A 12,437-nucleotide genomic window follows, 5' to 3' on the forward strand; every position below is an offset into this window, starting at 1 on the left:
TAATGAAGACGTCACTTGATCTTCCTGAGCCTCAGTTTCTTCATCTGTAAATTGGGATGAGATACCTCCCTCATGGGTCTGTTGTGAGGACAACATGTGATGATCCTGCCAAAGCTCTCTAGGCACTCTGTGCTTAGCTGTGTGGCCAATGCACAGTCAGCAGCGACACGATGCTATTTTTACTGCCTTCTTTCCCTCTTTCCCCAAGAGGACACACTCCTCTAGAAAAATAAGGTTCATGCAAACCTGCACTTTAAGAGCATTTATACAGATGTGCACGATGCAGTGCATGTGTCTTGATGGGGCTTTGTTAAATTGAATTTTAAAATTGTGTTTTAAATATACTTAGGGAAGTACAGAAAGGTACCCCAGAACAGGTTGTTTTATAAAGACAACAATAATTTCTGAATTATTTTCATTTCAGCTTTTTATATACTGTGTAGTCACAAAATGAGAGACCCTCCCCCACTCACCCCACCCTCACAGCTCCCCAGAGGAACAATAGCCATGAGCAAACAGTGCTTGCCTCCTGACCTTCGGGTGTTTCTCCTAAAGGCTAGCTCATTTAAGGGCAGCAGTCAGGGGCTTGCTACTCTTCGCAGCCCTGTTTCTTTTCTTGTGATGAGAAGAAACAAGCCCAGGCTGACAGCTGGCCAAGACTTGAACTAGAATGTTGAAGTTGAAAAGTCAAAATGGGTCTGTGTCAAAGGACTAGCAGAGGGGAAGGGACTGTCCTCCGGGGAGCTGAGGAGTGAGGATGGTCCTCACCTCGATCCAGCGATCAAATTCCCCAAGTAAATCCATGTAAAACATGAACTGTGGCCAGCACTTGTTAAGCAAGGAATATTAAAAATCATTGTCATTACTGCTGCTATTATTGTTACAGGCTTGTTCCAAGACTCTGGGTTTTGGCTCAGCTTGTCTAAATGGTCTTCCATCTTAAGGAATCAAGGGGTAGATTTTGGAACCACTAGCTCCATAGCCAAAGAAGGAGCAATCCAGCAACTTAGGCATTGATTCCGCAAGCCGTCCCAGAGCCTCTGTGTAGTCCTTACTTTCCCTAAATTGCCATGACTAGCTGGCTCAAGTTAGGCCTTTCTAATTTACCTGGACCGTTGCTGTCTCCTGTGCACGGCTGCGGGGATGAGCACCTTGTTGTGCGTTCCTCCGCTGGGCTGACGGAAATGGTTTGCAGCCAGACTGCTACGCCACGCGGTCTGGCATTTAGTCCTCAGAAATCTGATTTAGAGAACGTATACATTGCATCACAATCTAGATTTCAGAGGAAAGTTTTGGATAGAATAACCCAGACCCAAGTCTGGGTAATTTAAAGCCTGGGTGAAATGGGGCAGAAAGAGCCCAGAATATACAGGTCTGAATCTTGGCTGGGGTGATGTGGAAGACTGGAGGCGCCAGACGGCTGGCCTCCCTCCAAGTGTTTACCATGCTGGTGCCATGGGGCTGGGGCTGGGCAGTCCATGTGCTCATTCTTCCCTTCTCTTCTCCTCCTCCTCCCCCTCCATCTCTCCTCCTCCTCCTCATGTTTTCTATAGGCTAGAGAAACTCAGGAACTACTGACCCACAGGGAAGGCAAGCGGAGATATGAGACGGAGGAATCAAACGCTGCCCTGGTGGAGGACGCTGTGGGTTTACAGTGGATGATTTCCTCTGCCTATGAGATAAAAGGGCTGGCTCTGTACTTTGAACCCCAGCCTCACCCACCTCTGCCTGGGTGTGGCTCTTACTCTCTGGAAGACTTACTCAGGGGAGAGGACAGGACAGTGTGAGGCTTGAATCTCCAGGAAATAGAGTCTGTGGGCAGCCATTGACTCCGAGTCAATGAGAACAAGGTGTGCTGTTTCCTCTGTGCTGTTTCTTCCCTGCCCCACTCCCCGCCCCTTTGTCCTATGGTGCCCAGGCTGCCTGCACTGCCCAGATACCACAGGCCTTGCCAGGGACCTCCTGAGAGGTTTCTGAGGCTTGCAGCCAGTGGTCCCGTTAGTCTGCACGTCTCCGAGTTGCCCTCCCAGAGGAGAAAGCATATGCTGCTGGGACCGACTGCAGCTCCTCATGGATGCACCTGCCACCAGAAAATTGTTGTTCAGTCTGGGATTGCTTTCTCTTCCCAAAGCACAATCTCACATGCAGTCATGAGCCCAGTCCAGCCTCTGGGACAGAAGATTTCGTGCTTTTATAAACCAACAGCACTGCAGGTGCTGCACAAGGTAAGTGTCTCCCTTATTTCTTTCCCTCCCCGGAAGCCTCTGTATCAAACTAGGAGTTACCTTAATAGGGTCAAAGGAGGGTGTGGCTGTTTCACTTCCTGTTGTCAGCAGCCAAGTGTGCCTGAGGACAGAGGGTGGTGGGCAGGCATCCATTATGTGTAGGGAGGCAGGTATTGTACTGCTCTGGAACACACTGAGGAAGGGGGGTGCTCTGGCTTCCCTGACACCACCTCCCTGGTCAGGCTGCCGCAAGGCACCCAGATGTCAGTTGTCTTCCCACAACCTAATCATTCACAGCTGCTCCAGGGCCACACTTAGGATCTCTTTCCAGCGGTCCTCTTAGTCTGCCCCAGGGGCATGGCAAAGGAGGGCCTTTCATCCAGGGATCTCACACTCACAGAGACTTCACATTTGGATTTTTAAAAATTTATCTCTGAAGATATGCTAATAAGACTGAAAAGATGGAAATGATCATCAGCTTTAAACTTATGCCTGATTTTGGTACCAGGCCCATGAATTTTTAAGATTAATCCTGCCATTATCCCGTGAATAGGATGGTTATATTACCCTGTGCGTTTTTTTTTTAAAGCTTACACGTGTTAAAGCCTTAATTTATTAAATGTAAACTTCTAAAATATAGTATATCACAATTTTTGAAACCCTATTTGGGGATTTCTTCATTTTAATATACCTGAAGCCTCAGATAATGGGCGTGTCCCTGGTCTTTGTCCTCCAAGCGGCCCATTGGCCACTCCCCTCTTGATGGACTGTGGAGAGAAGCTGTTCCCTTTCCACGTGGTCATTTCAACTTCAGAAAAATCTCAGGTGCAATTGCCTGTTTCATTACAGCAGCTAGCCTATAATGAAAGAGGCCTTCGAAGCTTAGGCATGCCCAGTTTGGCCCCTTTCTTCATTTTACACACTGTTTTCTCCTCCCACAGGAAGGCTTCTCTCTACGGGGCTCAAAGCTACAGGCTCTCCACCATAGGGAAAATGGCCGACTAATATTCTTGAGTTCTTTACCCTTAGGCAATGGGGCTCAACTGTGACTGCACATTGGAATCAGTGGAGAGTTTTCCAAACATCCATCCGATGCCTGGGTTCTACCCCCACAGAACCTGATTTACTTGACCTGGGGTGTGGCCTGGGCATTGGAATTTTTTAAAGCACCCCACATGATTTTAATACACTACAAAGTTTCAGAAACAGTGCCCTAAGACCCTGGTTCTCAAACATTAGAATTCATCAGAATAATGTCCTCGTGGGGAGGGTCTTGTTAAAGCATAGATTGCTGGGCACAGTTTCTGATTCAGAGTTTCTGGATGGTACCTGGTAATCTGCATTTCTAATGAGTTCCCAGGTGATGCGATGCTGCTGTTCTGGGGATCATGTATTTACAACAGTTGTGCTAAAAGAAAGACAGTTAGAGTGGTGGGTTGGGAGGAGAAATGTGAGTGAATGCATGAAAATGTAGTTATTTCTTATTCTCAACCTCTGCAGTTGGCTTCAGAGTCAGGGACACCCCTAAATTACAGCAGTTACAGAGTATATTGGTCACCAAAGCTGCCACTGTGCAGAGACCCAAGCTAGGATAGAGCTGAGCCCCAGCAGCTGGACCCTGGTTGGTGGGGTAAGGCATGGTCTGAAACAGTCTGGGGCTACAGATCAGCTCTGTCCAGTGAGAATATAATACAGGGCACAAGGGTGAGTCACTTATGTAACTTCATATATTATAACCACATTGAAAAAACTAGAAACAGGTGAGATTAATTTTAATAATCTATATTATTTAACTTAACCCTCCAAAATCTTATTTTAACAGTCATCAACATAAAAAATGATTAATGAGATATTTGGCATTCCTTTTTCATGCTAAGTCTTTGGAATCGTACATGTGTTTTACACTTACAGCACATCTCAATTCACACCAGCCACATTTCAATGGCCACACGTGGACAGTGCCAGCCTGGATAGACCTAAGTACTGGGGCCGTCTGCCCCTGACGTAGGACTGATCACAAAGGTCCTCACTTCTCCCGGCAGCACATGGCCCCTCCTTCCATGCCTCTCAGAGCTCTTGGAATCTGTTCTCAGCATCTGAGAATCCCTCTGGCGTTCTTTACCATCGGTGCTTTGGACAGCACAAAAGGTTAACCAGGTTTAGTCAGGTCTGCAGGGCTTGTTCCCTCATGTCTGTGCATCTGAGGTCAGAATCTGAGAGGTTTTCATAGCCACTCCCACTCTCTTTCCTGACTTCACCATCTATAGAGATGAGTTCAGCGCCGGGTTTTTGTTGGAGAGAAATGGGTGTCTGAAATGGATTGAGGAAGAGAGTGAGGGGAAGCTGTAGTTGGGCCTAACAGTAGAACCAGGATGGAGTTTCTTTCGAAAGCTGCAAGCAGGAATGACGCTGATACTTCTGGTGCCTACCCCTGTCAAAGGACTCCAGAGCAGTGTGAGGTTTGTGACAGGACCAGGGTGACAGTCATTGTGCTCTTCCAGCAGCATGCTGACCTCTCTCCAATTAAATTCACTAAACATACAAGTATTGAATGGCTACTGTGTTCTCAAGTATTGAATGCCTACTGTGTTCTCAAGTATACTGATAAGGCAGTGGGCTATAATTATTGGAACTACACATTTTGGAATCAGTCAAGCCTGAGTTCAAATCCCCACTTTTGCAATGTGATCTTAAGCAAGTTACTTAATCTCTAAGCTGTGGTTTCTTCATTTGCAAAATGTGGGTAATACCTACGTAGTAAACTCCTGTGAAGATAAAGTGAAGTGATACATGTCTTTTCTTAGCACAGTGCCTGACGCACTCAGTGAAGGCATTCAATGAATGGTAGTAGGCTGGGACTAGGTGAGGTGAGCAAAGTGCCTAGGGTGCAAAATTTAGGGAGGTACCCACTCTCATGGTTGTGCAGGTGACACTGCGTGGTGCTGTCAGCACCATCATCATTGTTGCAGTTGTGTAATTACACTGTAGTGTCATGGGCATTCCTGAGCTACATAAGGCATGGCCTTTTCTCTCAAGGAACACAGGGTCCCTGAGGGGAGAGAAGACATGTATGTATACAAGCAAGCCAGGACTGGGAGATGAGATGATTGCCTTGAGGGAAGGAGGAGACATTGCTTCCACCAAGGGATTCAGAGACTACATCCTTGAAGAATGGACAAGATATCTGCAGGCATAGATTGGAAGGAATGACAATTTATAGAGGGAATGGCTTAAAGCCGTGGAGGCAAAAAACTGCTCAGGGAACATGGAATGTTGCTATACTGGTGCATAGAGGCAGCTAAAAAGGAATGCTAACAGTCTGGCTGCAATCCAGTTGTATAGGGCTTTAAATACCAGGCTAAGGAGTTTAGACTGTATTTGGCTTAAAAAAAATGCTGGGGGGAGTCATAGATAGCATCCCCGGAAAGAGGGACCAGAAAATGAGGAATACCTTTTCCTTTTGAGACAGAGAGGTTTTTGAGAGTCAGAATATATTGCCATTGTCCTACCAAACACAAGGCTTCATGTCTCGAGGCACATGAAACTTGTAAATTGTGTCATCCATTACCACCCCTTCTTGATCCTACTCCCCTGGAGTAACCCCTATTACTGTTGTCGTATATATTCTTTCAGACTTCCCTCTATACGTAGACAATATATAGATTCACAATTTTTAACCAAAATTGGATCATGCTGTATTTACTGTTCTGTCATTTACTTTTTTAAGTGTCCTAAAATATATATAACATAAAATTTAGCATTTTAACGATCTTTAAGAGTATAGTTCAGTGGCATTAAGTACATTTCCAATGTTGTGCAACCATCACCACCATCCATCTCTACAACTTTTTTCATCTTCCCAAACTGAAACCCTGTACCCATTAAAACACCAATTCCACATTCTCCTCTCGCTCTAGACCATGACAATCATCATTCACTTTCTGTTTCTATGGATTTCACGACTTTAAGTACCTCATATATGGAATCACACAGTATTTGTTTGTAACTGGCTTACTTAGCATAACGTCTTCAAGGTTCATCCATGCTGTAGGATGTGTCAGAATTTCCTTTCTTTTCATGGTTGAATAATATTCCATTGTATGTATATATCACATTTAGTTTACCTATGTAACCATCGTCAGAGTTGCTTCTGCCTTTTGGCAATTGTCTGCTATTTACTTTTAAATAATATATCGTGGCCATCTTTCCATGTGAGTTCCTGTAGATCACCTCATTCTTCTTAATGGCTGACTAATAGTTTGCTGTATGACAGTGACTAGTGTAGAATCACAACACCAGCTAGTGGGGCAGCAGGGATTTGAATCCAGTTTTTTTCTGGCTCCAAAAGTTGAGTGTTTTTCACCATTCCAGGGGACATGCGGGATGTGTACATTTTGAACCATCACATGGCTGGCATGGTCTTATGCAAGTATAATATAATGTGCTACAATTTGATTAGGTTTTGAGAGGCTTCTGATCAATGAAGTGATGAGTGCTTGTGAGACCAGGTCTAGCTTTGATTTTGGAGTCCCTACTCTCTGTACTCCCACAACACAGTCATCACCAGCTTTTAGTCACTGCTGACCTGGCCACCTCTCAGGGTAGCTCTGGAAGAGTATTGAATAGTAGTAGCATCTTTAGGAAAGAAAGGACCACAGAGTTCATCTGGCTCAACCCTTTGTTTTAGGGAAGGAGGAAACTGGAACCTGAGAGATGAGCCCAAGGCTACCTGTGAGTTTCCCTCTGCCTCCACTGAGAGGGTGTGGCTGCTAAGTCCTATCAGAAGATGCCCCACACTGTTTTCATTCCAATTTTACTGACTCATAGTTACTCTGTTTATGCTGGAAACTCATTTCCCCAAGTGCACTGTTTTTATTGTTTATTTCTCTTGTATACATGTATTCTTCCAGCAGCCTGCCCAGGTTTATTAAAAGATATTTACGTTTTCTGATCACTTCTACTTCCTTCTCTTCCTCCCAGGAATGGAAAATCAATCTGAGTGTCATTAAGAGCATACTCCCTGAAGAAGATTGCTGATGACAGTGGATTTGTCACCCAGCTCAGTGTCTTTTCCTGAGCAATAGGAATTTCTTCCATGGGGAATGAAACCTAGTGTTGTTTCCCTGTCTGAATCCAGGCCTTTCACTGACCTGCCAAGTTTTCATTCCATTGTCTCACTGTCATTGGCTGATCTGATCTCTACATTGATTAATTAGTTTCAAGCCCCTTCATACTGATCTAATAAAATTGGCTTGTTTAATTTGTGTCAGGAAATTTCTGAGAATGTTTCATTTAGACTCTGATAAGGTACATTTTTTTTTTAATGTCCTGCCGGAGACATCCCTTACGAGGGAGAGCTTGTCCTTCCTGCCATCTCTTGAATTACGCAGAGCAAACGCTGAAAGGATGGCGGGATTTCCTGCTGCCAGGGTCAAATGCTTCCACAACAAGCAGATCTGTCTTTCAGGGTGCAGTTTTTTATGTCCTCTCACCAGAAACACATGAGAATGCCATCTTTCCACCTCTAGAGGTTGTCTGAGCTGCTGGTAAGCATCAAAACATAGCCATCGAGAGCCAGGACAGAGCCACGGCCACTTCACCAGCTCCAGTCTCATGCCACTTGATTTATAAATGCCTTTTTTTTAATGGGCTGTCATCCCCTCAGGAGAGGTTGGAGTAAAAGTCTCAAAGTTGAGTGTTTGCTCTTCTGTCACAAAGAGAAATGGATGGGAAGAACAATACAAATGGCCTACAGGCGAGCAGGGGACTCTGCAGAGCCGAGCCCCATCCTGGTCTGATTCAGGCACTCAGTAAGCCTGAATGGGGCGCGGTTACTGGGGCGTGGTTACCCGCTGGCTGGGATGAGAATTCTCATAACTACTTTCCCAGTCGGCAACTGCCAGGATGCAGGGAGCTTGTTTAGTTAACACTATGAGACCACTGGATCCAACTAATCTCTATTTGCCTGTCTCCCCTAAGATAACTTTCATAAAAATGTGTAAACATGTTCTGAGAGTCTTCTGAAAATTCCCTCAAAGCCCCCTGACCGCCTGCCCTCTAGCTGGGGCTGTGGGGGCGGTGGCTGAGGCGCCCCCCTCCGTGGGAGGCTCCTCATACATCTCTGTCAGGAAAGGCAAGAGCCGCAGCCAGAAATGAGCTCCCCCAACAAAGCAGCCTCCCTGTGTGCTGCTGTGCAAGCTGCAGCATTTGGCTGATTCATTTGTCTTCATTAATGTTGCTTATAGCGGAGGCCTTTGTCACATATATGATTATGTGAGATTCGATTCTCTCGAATGTGTAAACACAGAGCTCTAGTGCGAGGCTCCAAGCAGGCAGCAGCCTGAAGCAGCTTTTCTGGCTGTTGGGGAGCCGGCTTATGTGATCAGCCCCTAGGGATGGGGCCGTACTGTCAGGGACTGGTTCTTGCAGTGATAAGGGAAGAGCTGCCTGGCTCTTCCGCCCCAGGCCTCAGGGCTTGCCTCTCCCTCCAGTCCCCTCATAGAGTATATCCTCCCCCATGCCTCCTTCCCCTCCACGCCACATGCCCCAGGCTCCCTGAACATTACCACCTTAATGTCTCCTAGCTTCGTTTCTTCCTGCCTCCCCTTCCAGGGTCCCACCTTCATCTCAGGCCTTCATCATCCCGAGGCTGGATTCCTGCAACAGCTTCTTAATCATACTCCCTCCCTCCGGTCTTGTTTCCCTCCAACCTGTTTGACACCCTGCTGATATCTTAATCTCTAAAATGCATATCAGTTTGGGTTGTTCCCCTTCTCTAGGAAAAGGTCAAACTGTTTAATAGAATGGTCTAGGAGGCTCTTTAGGACTAGGCTCCCAGAACCATTTCAAGCATCAGCCCACCAATGTGCTCATTCTCCTACCCCTCTCTTCCTCCCTGTTTTGGGGTTATACTTTGCCACAGGGTTCCAAAACAATTCTAATTCATGCCTCATATCTTAGGCCTTTTAGATAAAGCAATTTTTAAGATTTTGAATTTACCCACTCCACTATTTCTCAGATTAAAATGAGAACTTGGGAGGCCGGACCAAGTGAAATGTCCATGTCACTGTTTTACTAGGCATCATTCTGCAGGTTTCTTTTTGAGCTGTCCTACTCAGGCCACTTTAGTGCAGGAAAAAGAAGTCATTACCAGAGGAAAGAAGGAAGGGACGCTTATTGAAGGATGTGCACGTGTGGAACCCAGAGAAGTCTGGCTTCAGGAAGGGCGAAACCAGGACAATACTAGAGCCCGGCTGCACCCCGTGGCCTCTTTGCCTCTTTCTGTCCTCCTTGCTTTCTCGTGACCAGCATCCTCTGTTTACTCATCTTGTACACAACCCAGAATAGCAGCCACATGCCAGGGTCTACATGAACTTCTGAATTAGCACCCACCACCCACTACGGCTTCCTATTTTCTAAGAATGTAATGGTGCCGAGTCATCTCTCTGTGGATTGGTTGTCCTTGGCTCAGAACTCCTTCCCACTCTCTTCCCCCATAGCTTGGACCCAAGCTGGGGGCCACAGGGGTCTCCTGCCTTCTTATTAGGCTGGGAGTGGGGCAGCTTCTCAATGAGAGGCTACAGTGGTTTGCCGGGGCTGATGTAACAAAGTACCACACACTAGGTGGCTTGAACAGCAGAAATCTATTGTCTCAGTTCTGGAGGTTAGAAGTCCAAAATCAAGGTGTCAGCAGGAATGCAGTCTTTCTGTTTTGTAAGACTTGTAGGGAAAGATCATTTATACCAAGGATTGGTCTATAACCCTGAAAGCAAATGTGAATGTGGTCAATAATAACTACACTGGGCAGATCATACTGTACACCACTGTTGTGCATTGTCAAAACATTTTCACATACATTGTTTTATTTGATCCTAGCAATAACTCTGTGAAGTAGGAAAAGTAGAGTTTTGCTGTATTCTCTATGCCTCCATTTCTTCATCTGTGAAAAGAGGATAGTAATGATACCTACTCAGAGGATCGTTGCATGAGTCAAACGCATTAATACTGTAAAGCACTGGCACCCAGACCCACAGCAGAGCTGAGGCTGGCCCTCATGGCTCAGGGGTGGGCAGACCAAATGTGAAGCCAGAAAGGAGGTACCTCTCCATTCCTGTCCCCTAGTCCTGTCTTAATATCCTAAGGTTACTTGGCTAAAGGCTCGTATAATGCTATTTCTTTAAACTGTGTTTTCACTTATTTTATTTCCTGTCAAAGCTACAGGCATACCTTGTCTTACTGCCCTTTACTTTATTGCCGTACACAGATATTGCTCGCTTTCTCTCTCTTTCCTTCCTTCCTTCTTTCTTTCTTTCTCTTTTTCGCTCTCTTCTTTCTCTTCTTTTCTTTCTTTGTCTTCTTTCTTTATCTCTCTCTTCTTTCTTTCCTTTCTTTTTTTTCTTTCTTTCTCTTCTCTCTCTCTTTCTCCCTCTCTGTCTTTGTAACAAATCGAAGGTTTGTGGCAACCCTGCAATGAGCAAGTCTATTTGTGCCGTTTTTCCAAAAGCATGTGCTTACCTGGTGTCTCTGTGTTACATTTTGGTAATTCTTGCAGTATTTTGAACTTTTTCATTATTATTATATATATTACAGTGATCAGTGATCTTTGATGCTACTATTGTCATTGTTTTGTGGCACCATGAATTGCATCCATATAAGACGGTGAATTATTTGAGAAATGTGCATGTTCTGACTGCTCTACCCATCAGCCATTCCCCCAACTCTCTGCTTCTCCTCAGGCCTCCCTATTCCCTGTGACACAACAATATTGAAATTAGGCCAATGAGTAACCCTACAGTGGCCTCTAAATGTTCAAGTGAAAGGAAGAGTTGCATTTTCTCACTTTAAATCAAAAGCTAGAAATAATTAAGCTTAGTGAGGAAGGCACGTCAAAAGCCCAGAAAGACCAAAAGCTAGGCCTCTTGTGCCAACCAGCTAGCCAAGTTGTAAATAAAGAGGAAAAGCTCTTGAAGGAAATTAAATGTGAATGCATGAATGATAAGAAAGCAAAACAGCCTTATTGCTGATATGGAGAAAGTTTTAGTTGTCTAGATGGAAGATTAAACCAGCCACAACATTCTCTTAACCCAAAGCCTAATCCAGAGCAAGACCCTAACTCTCTTCAATTCTATGAAGACTGAGAGAGAGGAGGAAGCTGTGGAAAAGTTGGAAACTAACAAAGGTTGGCTTACGAGGTTTAAGGAAAGAAGCCATCTTCATAACATGAAAGTGCAAGGTGAAGCAGCAAGTGCTGATATAGAAGCTGCAGCAAGTTATCCAGACGATCTAGGTAAAATCATTGATGAAGGTGGCTACACGAAACAAGAGATTTTCAATGTAGATGAAAAAGCCATCTATTGAAATCAGAAGATGGCATCTAGGATATTCATAGCTAGAGGAAGTAACTGCAGATGTGGTGCCTGAAGGTGGGACTGAATTGCTACAAACTTGAACAGATAAGAGTGGCTTCTTCTTCTTTTTTTTTTTTTAGGTGGAGTCTCACTCTGTCACCCAGGCTGGAATGCAGTGGCACAATCTCTGCTCACTAACTTCTGCCCCCTGAGTTCAAGCAATTCCCCTGCCTCAGCCTCCTGAGTAGCTGGGACTGCAGGCATGCACCACCACCCTGACTAATTTTTGTATTTTTATTAGAAACAGGGTTTCACCATGTTGGCCAGGCTGGTCTCAAACTCCTGACCTCAGGTGATCTGCCTGCCTCGGCCTCCTAAAGTGCTGGGATTATAGGTGTGAGCTACCACGCCTAGCCAAGAGTGGCTTCTTATGGATGAGCAAAGAAAGTGGTTTCTTGAGATGGAAACTACTCCTGGTGAAGATGCTGTGATCATTGTTGAAATGACAACAAAGTATTTAGAATATTACATAAACCTAGTTGATAAAGCAGTGACAAGGTTTGAGAGGATTTACTCCAATTTTGAAAGAAGTTCTATTGTGAGTAAATGCTATCAAACAGCATCACATACTACAGAGAAATCTTTCCTGAAAGGAAGAGTCAATTGATGTGGCAAACTTCATCATTGTCTTATTTTAAGAAATTTCCACAGCCATCCCATCCTTTAGTAACCACCACCCTGATGAGTCAGCAGCCATCAACATAGAGGCAAGACTCTCCACCAGCAAAAAGATTATGGTTCACTGAAGGCTCAGATGATAGTTAACATGTTTTAGCAATAAGGTATTTTTAAATTTAAGGTATGT

At 45.0% G+C, this 12,437-nt stretch overlaps 1 long non-coding RNA gene across 1 annotated transcript, besides 2 other annotated features; it reads left to right on the top strand.

The window, feature by feature from the left end:
* Nucleotides 1,252–2,451: an enhancer, noted in NCBI's record as "CDK7 strongly-dependent group 2 enhancer chr14:32413341-32414540 (GRCh37/hg19 assembly coordinates)". NCBI's record gives its function as "activates an origin of replication core promoter dependent on BRD2, BRD4, P300/CBP, MED14 and CDK7 cofactors, with strong dependence on CDK7, by STARR-seq in HCT116 cells {active_cell/tissue: HCT116}" and the evidence as "EXISTENCE:reporter gene assay evidence [ECO:0000049][PMID:35650434]".
* On the top strand, nucleotides 1,970–7,411 carry LINC02313 (long intergenic non-protein coding RNA 2313). The gene is made up of 2 exons (NR_146544.1): nucleotides 1,970–2,225; nucleotides 7,206–7,411. It is a non-coding gene; the product is annotated as a long intergenic non-protein coding RNA 2313 (long non-coding RNA).
* Nucleotides 7,852–8,471: an enhancer, noted in NCBI's record as "H3K4me1 hESC enhancer chr14:32419941-32420560 (GRCh37/hg19 assembly coordinates)". NCBI's record gives its function as "activates a minimal SCP1, AML or CMV promoter by ChIP-STARR-seq in naive H9 embryonic stem cells {active_cell/tissue: H9 hESC(naive)}" and the evidence as "EXISTENCE:reporter gene assay evidence [ECO:0000049][PMID:30033119]".

Source organism: Homo sapiens, chromosome 14, assembly GCF_000001405.40.
Source record: "Homo sapiens chromosome 14, GRCh38.p14 Primary Assembly".
NCBI lineage: Eukaryota > Metazoa > Chordata > Mammalia > Primates > Hominidae > Homo > Homo sapiens.